At 37.4% G+C, this 13,529-nt stretch overlaps 1 protein-coding gene across 7 annotated transcripts in view, besides 1 other annotated feature; it reads right to left on the bottom strand.

Moving 5' to 3' along the window:
- CSTPP1 (centriolar satellite-associated tubulin polyglutamylase complex regulator 1) overlaps positions 1-13,529 on the bottom strand; it is a 227,697-nt gene that overhangs the window by 95,242 nt on the left and 118,926 nt on the right. The gene's annotated exons all lie outside the window — the stretch shown is intronic.
- Positions 11,340-11,889: an enhancer, noted in NCBI's record as "NANOG hESC enhancer chr11:47078806-47079355 (GRCh37/hg19 assembly coordinates)". NCBI's record gives its function as "activates a minimal SCP1, AML or CMV promoter by ChIP-STARR-seq in primed H9 embryonic stem cells {active_cell/tissue: H9 hESC(primed)}" and the evidence as "EXISTENCE:reporter gene assay evidence [ECO:0000049][PMID:30033119]".

Below are 13,529 nucleotides of genomic sequence, written 5' to 3'. Positions count from 1 at the left end.
GGCACTTAGAAGTTTCTATAAAAGTTTAATTTCAATTCTTATTAAAAACATACTTTTATTTAAAGTCTATAAGAAAAACAAAATGTACACTAAATATGTTACACAGTAAATTTTAATATACACACACTATCAACCTGTGCTCATAGGTTAACTCATTTGTGGAATTTCTCCTACTCCACAAATATATATATATATTTGCAACTGTAAATGTGCCACTGATTAGGAAATTATTATCTGCTCTGGTCTTTTTATTTTCTTTTTAATCCAGGACTATATTGGCATGAAAGCTGAGATTACATAAAATCTTTATACTGGATGAGAAGACAGATGTTGTCAAGCTCTCCTTTTACTTATATGATCTGGTATAGAAGCAAATGCAAAGTAAATTTATTATTTTATAAAATGCTTGATAATTATAAAATGGAAGTCTTTAAGTGTTAAGATACTAACAAAGTAGTATAAGGTAGTCATATTTGTACGGTGACTGGAAAGGCAATGGCAGAAAAAAATTCAAGGAGTAGAGGATCACATAAAAGAGAAGGCAGCCAAAAATATTGTGTAGATAAGCACTAGCAGTTAAAATTATACAAGAAGTTTTCTTTTCTTTTTTTTGAGATGGAGTCTTGCTCTGTCACCCATATTGGAGTGCAGTGGCATGATCTTGGCTCACTGCAACCTCTGCCTCCTAGGTTCAAACAATTCTCCCACCTCAGCCTCCTGAGTAGCTGCAATTACAGGCGCGCGCCACCGTGCTTCACTAATTTTTGTGTTTTTAATAGAGACAGGGTTTCACCATGTTGGCCAGGTTGGTCTTGAACTCCTGGCCTCAAATGATCTGCCCACCTCAGCCTCTCAAAGTACTGGGATTACAGGCATAAGCCACTGTGCCTGGCCAAAATTACACATGCAGTTTTCAAAATTAACATTTACATTTTAAAAAATATTACATTGGATAACATACAGATTGATACAGGCTGTCAGTTTTATTAGGACAAAGTCTTTAAGCTGCAGATCTTTCTGAGTTATTTGCAGGGATATAAGCAGTTGTATCAAAATTTATTCTTTTATACTAAAGTTTCCTGATTGACATAAGGCAGGTATGAGGACTACAGTTAAAAAAAAAAAGTAATTACCATTATTTCTACCTTAAACTAAAATCCATTGAATATAAGTTTATCAATGTGGAAATAAATTAGATGGCTCAATTTGATAACGCAGGGTCACAACACGGCCATACTCACAACTTCAGATAAAATGTTAATGATAAATCAAAACAGGTTTTGGAGTCAACATGCAAAATAAAATGAATCTTTCTGTGCTGAAACTGTGAGTTAAAAAGAAGACCTCTGTGTTAGTCTGTCCGGGCTGCCGTAACAAATACCATAGACTGAGTGACTTAAACAGCAGAAATTAATTTTCTCACAGTTCTGGGGACTGGAAGTCTGAGATCAAGGTGCCAGCAGAGTTGGTGTCTGGTAAAGGCTCTCTCCTTGGTTTGCAGACAGCTGCCTTCTCACTGTGTCCTCACGTGGAGGGGCATGGGCAGCTCTCTGGTATCTCCTCTTACAGGGACACCAGTTCCGGTGTCTCTTCTTGCAAGGATACTAATCCTTCCTATCTGATGAAGCCCTACCCTTATCACCTCTCTTAACCTTAATTTCCTCCTTACAGGAGGAATTTCTTCAAATATAGTCACATTGGAGGTATGGCTTCAACATGGGAATTTGGGGGGGGCAGACACAGTTCAGTCATACTAGCCTTTGAGTCATCTGATCTTTTCAAAAAATAATACCATTGAACAACTTATATATGATGTTATAATATACATTTATTTTTCTCCAAACAATAAAATTTTTAAACTAGCTGAGAAAATTTGTTGATTTCTCCAGAGTGATTACTCATTAATTAGGAATGTGAGCAACTCAGCTTTGAAACACAAATTTACTATTACTCCCTTTCTGAACATTAGTAAAGCTAAAAAAAGATCAGTCAAAATGTTAAAAACAAATCTATTAGTATTTGAAGCTACTTATCTGTATGAATCTCAATTTTTTGGCACACTTTTACCTTAAAACCAAATAAAAGTCCTCAACCTCATCAATAGGTTCTTGGAAACTGACTTTAAGTGAAACAAGGTATAATAAAACCAATTTCATCATAGGCTAATCGACATAAACAAGAGTTAAGTTCCTATGGCATGTTTCTGGTCACAAATAATCACCCAACTTCTAAATAAAGACCCTACACACCTCTAATATTAAACATTGAAATAAATGTGGGCTATACATACATTTAAGAAAGGTTAATAACAACAAGTAAGATTACCCAATTTTTGGTGAATCGCTGAATGACGACAGTTGTAGTGGTGGTGGATTAAATAAGGGAATAGATATTTGCAAATAGAAAAATTTAAGGAGCACCTCCTCCGACCATGAATTAAAAAACAATCACAAATATGGTGGGCTAGCTGAACGCTTTCATACCTCATCGCTTATTGTTGTGCAGTTGTATGATTATCATCTACTTTATAAATTTGTATTTGATAATAATTTGTATTCAATAATAATTTGTATTCATTCATTTTCCAACCTGCTTATTCTAGCTTAGGGTTGCAGGTGGCCAGAGCCTATCCTGGAAGCCTGGGACACAAGGTGGATAGCCCTGTACAGGACATCTCATTCCATCTCGGGGAGCACACACACACACCAACATTCACTCACACTGGGACCATTTAGTCACACCAATGAACCCAACACATACATCTGTGGTAGAAAACTGGAGTACCCAGAGAAAATCCATGCAGACATGGGGAGAATGTGCAAATTTCACACAGTGGCCCCAGCTGGGAATCAATTTTTTTTTTCCTCATCAATGTTATAATGCAATTATGTTATTTGAGGACCTGCTGTACTGAAAAACTTTTCCCCTAAGATCAGGAAAAAGACAAAGATGCCTGCTTTCACTACTTCTATTCATCATAGTACAGGAAGTTCTAGCCAGAGCAATTAAGGAAAAAACAAACAAACAAAAAAAAAAAAAAAAAAAAAAAACCCACAAGGCATCCAAATTAGAAAGAAAGAAATAAAATAACCTCTGTTCACAGATGATATGATCTTATATGCAGAAAGCCCTAAAGATTTTACACACACACACACACACACACACAACTGTTAGACCTAATAAATGAATTCAGCAAAGATGCAGCATACAAAATCAAGATACAAAAATCAATTACATGCTGGGGTGGTGGCATGTCCCTGTAATCTCAGCTATTTGGGAGGCTGAAGCAGGTGAATTGCTCGAACCCGGGTGGCGGAGGTTGCAGTGAACCGAGATCACGCCACTACACTCTAGCCTGGGCGACAGAGTGAGACTTTGTCTCAAAAAAATAATAATAATAATAATCAATTATATTTTTATAAATTAACAATGAAAAATATGAAAAGGAAACTAAGAAAAACAATTCCATTTACAATAGCATGAAAAGAATAAAATACTTAGGAATAAATTTAACCAAGGAGGTGACAGACTTGTATACTTGAAAACTACAAAACATCGCTGAAAGAGGCTGGGCGTGGTAGCTCATGCCTGCAACCCCTCTGCTTTGGAAGGCAGAGGCAGGAAGATTGCTTGAGGCCAGGAGTTTGAGACCAGTCTGGGCAACAGAGTGAGACCTCATCTCTAAAAGAAATAAAAAATTAGCTGGGCTTGATGGCAGAGGTGGGAGGATTGCTTGAGCCCAGGAGTTCAAGGCTACAATTAGCTATGATTGTGCCACTGCACTCCAGCCAGGGCAACAGAGCAAGACACTTTCTCTTAAAAAAAAAATTGCTGAAAGAAACTGAAGATGACCTAAATAAATGGAAACACATCCTATGTTCATAGATTAAATGACTTAATATTGTCAAGGTGATACTACCACCGAAAGTGATCTATAGATTCACTGCAATCCTATCAAAATTCCAATGGTATTCCAATGGTATTTTTTAATAGAAAAAACCATTCATAAAATATCTTTAAAAGGACCAAGAATACCCAAAACAACCTTGAAGAAGAACAAAGTTGGATGACTCACATTTCTTGATTTTAAAACTTATTACAAGGCTGGGTGTGGTGGCTGAAGCCTATCATCCCAGCACTTTGGGAGGCCGAAGCAGGTGGATCACAAGGTCAGGAGTTCAAGACTAGCCTGACCAAAATGATGAAACCCCGTCTCTACTAAAAATACAAAAATTAGCGGGTGTGGTAGCATGTGCCTGTAATCCCAGCTACACAGGAGGCTGAAGCAGGAGAATCGCTTGAACCCAGGAGGTGGAGGTTGCGGTGAGCTGAGATCGTGCCACTGCACTCCAGCCTGGGCAACAGAGTGAGACTCTATCTCAAAACAAACAAACCAAACAAACAAACAAACAAAACAAAAAAACCCCAACTTATTACAAAGCCACAGTAATCATAAGGACAGGCAAACCAACAAAAGAGAATGTAAATCCCAGAAACAAAAATCCTCATATATATGGTCATTTGACTTTTGACAAGGGTGCAAAGGGTACCATTCAAGGGGAGAAAGGACAGTCTTTTCAATAAATGGTGTTGGGAAAACTGAATATGCACGTGCAAAAGAATGAAGTTGGACCCTTACCTAATACCTTACATAAAAATTAACTCAAAATTGATCAAATACCTAAATTTATGAGCTAAAACTAGAAATTTCTTAGAAGAAAACATAGGGGAAATCTCCATGACACTGGATTTGTAAATGATTTCCTAGATATAACACCAAAAACACAGAGGACAAAAGAAAAACAGATAAATTGGACTTCATTGAAATTAAGAACTTTTGTACATCAGAGGATATGATAAAAAAAAAGTGAAAAGATGACCTACAGAACAGAAAAAAAATTTGCAAATCATATACCTGATAAGGAATGAATATCCAGAATACATGAAGAACTCCTACAACTCAACGACAAAACAGCCTGATTCAAAAAGGGCAAAGGGCTTGAATAGATACTCCTCTAGAGAAGATATAAAATGGCTAATAAGCATATTAAAAGACACTCAACATCATTTGTCATTAAGGAAATGCAAATCAAAACCATGAGATACCACTTCACATTCTTTAGGATGGCTATTATCAGAAAAATAGAAAATAGCAACAAGCATTATTGGGGATGTGGAGAAACTGGAACCCTTATGCATTGCTGGTGAGAATGTAAAATGATACACCTGCTGTAGAAAACTTTACAGCAGTTCCTCAAAAAATTAAACATAAAATTACTGTATGGTACAGTAATCCCACTTCTAGTTATGTGCCCAAAGTAATGGAAAGCAGGGACTAGAAAGATATTTGTACACTTACATTCATAGCAGCATTACTTACAACAGCGAAAATGTAGAAACAACCCAAGTGGCCATCAACAGGTGAATGAATAAACAAAATGTGGTATATACACACAATGGAATATTATTCAGCCATAAAAAGGAATGAAATTCAGATACATATTACAACATGGATGCACTTTGAAAACATCATGCTAAGTTACATAAGTGAGACACAAAAGGACAGATATTGTACACACTTATCTGATGTATCTAGAATAGTCAAATACATAGATACAGAAAGTAGAATGGTGGTTTCTAGGGACTGGAGGAGGAGAGAAATGGGAGTCATTGTTTAATGGCTACTGAGTTTCGGTTTTGCAAGATAAAGAGTTTTGGAGATGGAGGGTAATAATGGTTGCACAACACTGTGAATGTACTTAATGCCACGGAACTGTACACTTAAAAATGGTTAAAGTGGTAAGTTTTGTTATATAGGTTTTATTGCCATAAAAAAGATTTCTCAAATTAAAAAGTGGTAAATGGTAAATTTTGTTATATATTTTACCACAATAATAAGAAAAACCATATATATATATTTAAGACCTAGTTTCAAGATGAAATAATTTCTAAGGTCCCTTCTAATTCTAAAATTTTATGTGATATCATGGAGATATCAAGGAGAAAAGAGAAAGAGAATCTATTAATAGTTGAGGAAAAAGCTCCTGACTGAATTAAGAGTGAAACTTTACCTTTTAGTGATTATAAATGGACCAAGAAGCTCTAGCAATGGTAGCAAACTCCAATGCCTACAGACGCGCAGGGAATGTCAGCAGGTGAAGCAGGGCAGCTTGGGTTGGTGGTAAATCTGAGACCACATGCCCTGTCTAAAGGGAGCAGCTGCATCTCTGCCCTGGTGAACTGTCTCCCTGCAGGAATGTGGGCATGGTGCTGGGAGGATTTTCCATTCTTCAAGTGAAACTGAAATTGAGACTTTTATGTGAAACATTGGCATCTAATTGAATCTAAGTATTTTTAACACTGAAAGTCAAAGAAGACACATCTGTAGGCCAAGGCATGTGTAGTTAGCCGACTACTAGTTTGTGATACCTTTCATGGAGTGAAGGCAAAAACCCAGAATACAAAAGAAGGAACGGATGTACTATTCACCAGTGTTTAAAGTTTGATTACAGATCATGATCTAAATCTTTCAAATCCTTATTTTGGAATACTGAATATTATTTTAATTAGGTGTTATTTAGTATAGTATAGCTTTGATTAGGCTGGTTTTTAGTGGAACACTTTAAACATGAACTTTAGTACCTGGCATATAGCATTTGCTCAATAAGGGGTAGCTATTATTAATTTAAATCAGAAGTTCCTATACAATATAGAAAAGTTAGTGTAAAGCAGATTTTAAAAACTAACCTATCCTCTGATAAAATGAATGATAATATAATCCATTCAATAATCTATCTTCTGTATCATTACTGGGAAAAGGTAAGCCTTCATATTATATAACAAAAAAATCATTCACCTGTATTAGGTGCTAGGGATATAATTACTGGCAAAACAAACAAGGTTCCTGTACTCATAAAGTTTATAATTTTAATAAGGGAGATGGACATTAAAAGTCATTCAAGTAAATACTGAGTCAGAAACTGTAATAAATGATATGATAAAAATCAGAGGATAATCTGAAAAATTATAATGGAAGGACCCAATTCAGATAAGGAAGGGAGTCACAGAGAAGGCTTCTTTAAGGACCTGACCTTTAAAACTAAAACCTACAGGTATTATGTATGGAGGGTTGAGGAGCTTCAGGTGGGAGAGAAGATAGTGACAAAAGCATTCCAGGAATGCTTGCGTAAGAGCCCCAAATAACCAACATTGAAAAAAAAGAGAACATTAAATAGGGGGAAAGATTAAAGTTATTGGAGGTACAGAGGTGAATGATTTGAGGGGCCATCAATTGTCAATTTTCTCCCTGGAGAAAAGATTTTGAAGAAGGAAATAAACATGAAAAACAAAGGGAAAATTAGGAACTCAGGAGAAATAAACAAAACGGGAGCTAGGAAACAGGCACTGAAATTCTTGTTGATTGTCTACATCTGGTTTCTGGGAGAAAATGAGAAGAGGAGATGCACTGGCTGGAGCAGGTGAAGATAATTGGCTGGTGGGGCCCACATCACTGAAGAGACCACATGGAACAGTTCTTGTTTGTTTAAAACATTACAGAAGCAACAATTGCTCTTTAATAATTCAAAGACAGCCACCCACTCCTGTAGTAAAGCGCTATTAATCCTCACTGAATGATTTTTACTGGTGAAGATAAGGATTAGTGACAAGCAAAATCAAGTGAAGTTCAAGGCAATTACAAAAAGAAGTCAGACCAACATCTTCATTTCAGCCTAAAGTGTCTGCATTTTCCCTTGACATCACTTTGTCCACCATAAACAATAGATATTTTAGAAAAACTAACAGATTTTTATCACATACTCAGATAGACCCACTGCAATTCCCTGATTCCTAGAATGTAAGCTCTATAAAAGCAGGGATTTTTGTCAATTTTCTGATCATACAGCAAAGTTGACAAGAATAAAAATTTCTGTCTGTCCCAGTCACTGCTTTATCACCAAGAACTGATACATAAATGTTTGTCGAATGAATAAATATGAACACAAAACCACTGTGAATTCAGAGTGAAACATAAAAGATGAAAGAAAAAAAAGGAAAGGAAAAAAGCAAGAGAGGGATAAAACTGGCCATACTTTACATTCTGGCATTCATTCTTGACTCTTTCTCTGCCACATCCCTCACACAATGAATCAGCAAATCCTGTCAAACCAACTTCTTAAATAGCTCTTCATTTTCATGGTCATTTCTGTTATATTGTAGTAGTCTCCTAACGGGTCTATGCTTTCACTTTTACCTGCCTTACATTTTCCATGCTTTTGTCTGTGTTACATGTGAAAATACCACACAAATGGAGAAGATTCTACTAACTTCAGGAGAAATTTTTTATTTTCATAGGGTTTTGGGGGAACCAGTGGTATCTGGTTTACATGAGTAGGTTCTTTAGTGGCGATTTGTGAGATTTTGTTGCACCCATTACCCAAGCAGTAACAATGAACCCAATTTGTAGTCCTTTATCCCTCACCCCCAACCCATCCTTTCCCCGGGTCCCCAAAGTCCATTGTATCATTCTTATGCTTTTTAGTGCACACAAAGCCCTTCATAACCTGGGGTAGCAGGCACAGCAGAGTTGTTAAGAATGTGGACTTTGTGGGCTTGAGAGTGGTGGCTCACACCTGTAATCAGCACTTTGGGAGGCTGAGGCGGGTGGACTGCTTGAGCCCAGGAGTTTGAGACCAGCCTAGGCAACATGGTGAAACCCCATCTCTACAAAAAATACAAAAATTAGCTGGGTGTGGTGGTATGTGCTTGTATTCCCAGCTACTAGGGAGGCTGAGGTGGGAGGATTGCTTGGGCCCGGGAGGCAGAGGTTGCAGTGAGTGGGCAACAGAGTGAGACTCAGTCTCAAACAAAAAAAAAAAAAAAAAAAAGAAAAGAAAAGAGAAAGAATGTGAAAATGTGAACTTTGTGAAGACGTAGGTTGGAATATGAGCTGTGCTACTTATAAGCGCTGTGGCCTTGTGTGAGTTACTTAATCCTCTGACTCTCAGTTTCGATTCTTTTTCTTTTCTTTTTTTTTTTTTTCGAGACAGAGTCTCGCTCTGTTGCCTAGGCTGGAGTGCAGTGGCATGATCTTGGCTCACTGCAACCTCCACCTCCCAGACTCAAGCAATTCTCCTGCTTTAGCCTCCTGAGTAGCTGGGACTACAGGCATGCACCACCACACCCAGCTAATTTTTGTATTTTTAGTAAAGAAGGGATTTCACCATGTTGGCCAGGCTGGTCGCAAACTTCTGACCTCAAGGATCCACCTGCCTCGGGCTCTCAAAGTGCTGGGATTACAGGCATGAGTCACCGCGCCCAGCGGACTCTGTGTCTTAACATATAAAACAGGATAGTAATCATATCAACTCATATGTTTATTGTGTGGATTAAATGAATGAATACATGTAAACATTTTGCTCAGTGTATGGCACATAAAAGCATTCCGCATTATCTCCTATTGACTGTGGTAGTGTTTCCTTATTATGTGTTAAATACTGGCCACAATGACTTCTTACCACTTTCCAAAGGAACCATGTTGTTTCATGTTATCATACTTTCAGAAATCGTGTTCCCTGTTTTTAGAACGTATTCCTTATTTGCTTAACAGCTTTCTACTGCTCCAAGATCCATCCCAACTGTCTTTGCACCTTTATAGCCTTCACCCGCTTCTATAGAATTGACTATTTTCTCCCTTGTGCTATTATGGAATCTTATGTGTGGCTCTAAAAATCACCTGTACTCTATGGAGACTATTTCTACACCACTCAGGTTTTTTTTGGCAGAGAGGGGGTGGGGTTGAATTAAGAATCTAGTTTATTTTATTTCTTCTAAAAAAAACGGGATAGATGTACAGAATGTGCAGGCTTGTTACATAGGTATACGTGTACCATGGTGGTTTGCTGCAACTATTGACCTGCCCTCTAACTTCCCTTCCTTCACCCCCCAGCCCCCCAACAGGACCTGGTGTGTGATGTTCTCCTCCCTGTGTCCATCGTGTTCTCATTGTTCAACTCCCACTTATGAGTGAGAACATGCAGTGTTTGGTTTTCTGTTCCTGTGTTAGTTTGCTGAGGATGATGGCTTCCAGCTTCATCCATGTCCCTGCAAAGGACACGATCTCGTTCCTTTTTATGGCTGCATAGTATTCTGTGGTGTATATGTTCCATATTTTCTTTATCCAGTCTATCATTGATGGGCATTTGGGTTGGTTCCTATGCTACTGTTTCTTCTCCTAGAATAAGAGCTCCTTGAGGGCAAGTATTGTCACTTACTCATTTGTATTTCCAGCCTGTCATGCAGTGTTGATGCATAACACGCTGAAGCAATAATACAGCCTGGAGTCAGACTTCATGGCTTCTCCTGGCATTGGCTTTTTCATTGACTGGGTGTGTGACCTACAGCAAGTTATTTAACATTCTAAATCTGTTTCATTTTCTATGCAAAGGAAATAATAGCATCTACCTAACACATAGGGTTGTTGTGAAGAAAAATGAGATAATCTACATAGAAGCACTTAATAAATGTTAATTGCTATTATTATCATTTTCACTATATTGTATTTTTCATGTCTAGAAATTCCATTTGGATCTTTTTAATATCTTCCACTAATCTCCTAATCATATTCATGTTTTCTTTACATACTTAAGCATATTTATATGATTTAAAATAACTATTTTAAGGTCCTTGTTAGTTAATTCCATCATCTCTGTCATTTCTGGATCTGTGTTTCTATTGATTAATTTTTCTCCTGGTTATGGGCTGTATTTTCCTGCTTCTTTTAATGTCTGGTAATTTTATTTTGTTTTGTTTTGTTTTTGAGACAGGGTCTTACTCTATTGCCCAGGCTTGAGTGCAGTGGTGCGATCACAGCTCACTGCAGCCTCAACTTTCCAGGCTCAAGCAATCCTCCCGCCTCAGCCATTAGAGTAGCTGGGACCACAGGTGTCACACCTGGCTAATTTTTTAAATTTTTTGTAGAGACAGGGTTTTGCTCTGTTGCCCAAGCTGGTCATGAACTCCTGGGCTCAAGTGATCCACTTGCCTTGGCCTCCCAAAGTCCTGGGATTGTAGGCATGAGCCACCATGCCTGGCCTGTCTGGTAATTTTGAATTGGATGTCAGACTTTGTGAATTTTGCATTGCTGAATGCTGGATTTTGTTAAATTCCTTTAAAGATTATTGAATTTTGTTCTTATATAGCATTAAATTACTTGCGGATCGATTTAATCCTTTTTGCTTTTAAACTGTTGAGAACTCTACCCAGTGCCCGGTGTGTTTTGAGGTCTCTTCCCTATGGCTGGTAGAAGTTTGAATTATCCTTAGCCCCTTGTATACTCCAGAAATTGTTTGGCCCACTGTTTTCTGGTGGTTCTTTTTCCAGCCCACACATATGCAGAATTTGTAGCCAAAGATTCTGGAGCTCACTGAACAACTTCTTCCTCTCTTGGATTCTGACCTGTAAATACTGGCTGCTCCAGCCTCCCTAAACCCCAGTCTCTGCCTCCTCAACTCAATAACACTGCTAAGCTCTTTGACAATCTCTCTCCCTATACTGTTGCTTGGAAACTGGCTCTCAGAATCCACAGCCCCCACTGCCTATTGCCCAATGTCTGAAAACTGTTGTTTCAGATATGCTGATTTTCTCATTGTTAGTGGCAAGAGGGCAATTCCCTTAGTAGATACTTCTTCACAGATAGAAGAGGAAGTACCTATCATTATTTTATCAAATGAAATATATATATGTATGTATGTGTATATATGTATATATTGAAAATTAAATTCTAATTGAAAATAAACTTGGAGAAGGCACTTTTGAGCCGATATCCCTAAACAGAAGTAAAGATTTACATTAAGAGAATATCAATCTTTGCCAGACTTAGAAAATTCAGATTAATATTCCTATACAGAAAAAATTAGCAAAGTGAGAAGTGTAATTTTAAAGGCTTTTAAAATTCTAATATAACTTTTGCTTCCAAGAGTCTAAAGTTGCTTAGATACCAAGAGGTTTGTTACAGTCTTCATGAGATTATCTAAAATTTGGACAAGATAATTAGCATCAGTACTCAGTCATGCAGAAAAGATATCATATCCTGTACTTGCTAAAAACTGGAATAAAATATTTTTTGTCAAAAGGGACCAGGTCCTTAGAGTTCTACAGGTGGCTTCATTTTTAGATATGTTATGCTCTTGTTTTGCTACCTCCCAGAAGAGTTACTTTCCACTTGATAATGCTAAAGTATGCACATGACATTCTAAGGAAGTTATCTGCAGAAGAATAATGCAGTAGGAGTTCCACTGAGTAGGTAGGTACCTGGCATTATAATTGATAAAATGGGGCTTAATAAATCCTTTCCTTTAGAACCTTGCCGCCAAGAGTTTTCACTAATTCCGGATTAAAATTGGAGATTGACACATTCTGGTTTAGAAAGATGTTCTGGAGTTTCCTAGAAAAAGCTGAGAATACATTAAAGCTACTTAACCAATTATTTTAGGAACACCTAGACACAGATGTTGCATTTAGTCTAAGAAATCTGAGGCTGTCTGATTAAGAAGGATAACAATAAACAGCCAGCATAAAATCTAGGTCTTGTTTATGGCACAAGGAGAAACTGGGGGAATTTGGAGCTGCTTATTCTTAGCAGCTGGATGAGTCACTGGCAGCTGCTATTAGAAAGATAAAGAAACCCACATCTGCTAAGAGTCCAAATGCTATATGAATCCCTCGTGATAGTAAATACATTCTTGAAGAGGCCCCACTTCTATATCAGGAAAAAAGTTAAGGCTATCTGAAGACTGTTTTCCATAGTTATCTCCATATGTTCTATCACAGAAACTAGCTCTAGCCATATTCTTCAACATGCAGCTGACCCTTGAACAACACAGGTTTCAGCTGTGCAGGTCCACACTTTTAGGTGGATTTTTTTCAACCAAATATGGATCGAAAATACACTATTCTAGGGATATGAAGCCCTGTATACGGAAGATTGACTTTTCACATATGAGAGTTCCACAGGACTAATGTAGGCCTTGATTATGCGTGGATTTTGGTATAAACAGGGGTCCTGGAACCAATCCCTGCATAGACTGAGAGACGACTGTACTAGGTGGTCTAAAACAAATATTTGCTGACTGAGTGAGGGACTGGGAAAGATAACCTCTGATAACATAGCACGAGCTTTACCTATATACTCACAGTTCCCAGTTTTGTTTACATAGAGACCAATGGAATAGTTTTTCTGAATTACTTAACTTAAAATTGAGTCCACATTGGTTTTTGCCTATTAGTGCATTTATTCTGTAAGGGAAATGATACGATCCTCAGTACACTAAGTACTTCTTTCATAATACTGTAATGGAGATGCATGATCTCCAGAGTTATATGTCAAAGAGGCAATGATTGAAGTAAAAATAGTAGAAATAGCACATCAGCATATTAGTAAATCTGGGTTCAATTTCTAGCTTTGCTACTAATTCACCATGAAATCTTTCTGCAAGTTACACAATTTCATTATTTACAAAATGGGCACAATA

Source organism: Homo sapiens, chromosome 11 (genome assembly GCF_000001405.40).
Source record: "Homo sapiens chromosome 11, GRCh38.p14 Primary Assembly".
Classification (NCBI taxonomy): Eukaryota; Metazoa; Chordata; class Mammalia; order Primates; family Hominidae; genus Homo; species Homo sapiens.
Note: the sequence above shows the minus strand (reverse complement) of the source record. Positions and strands in the feature narration are given on the sequence as shown.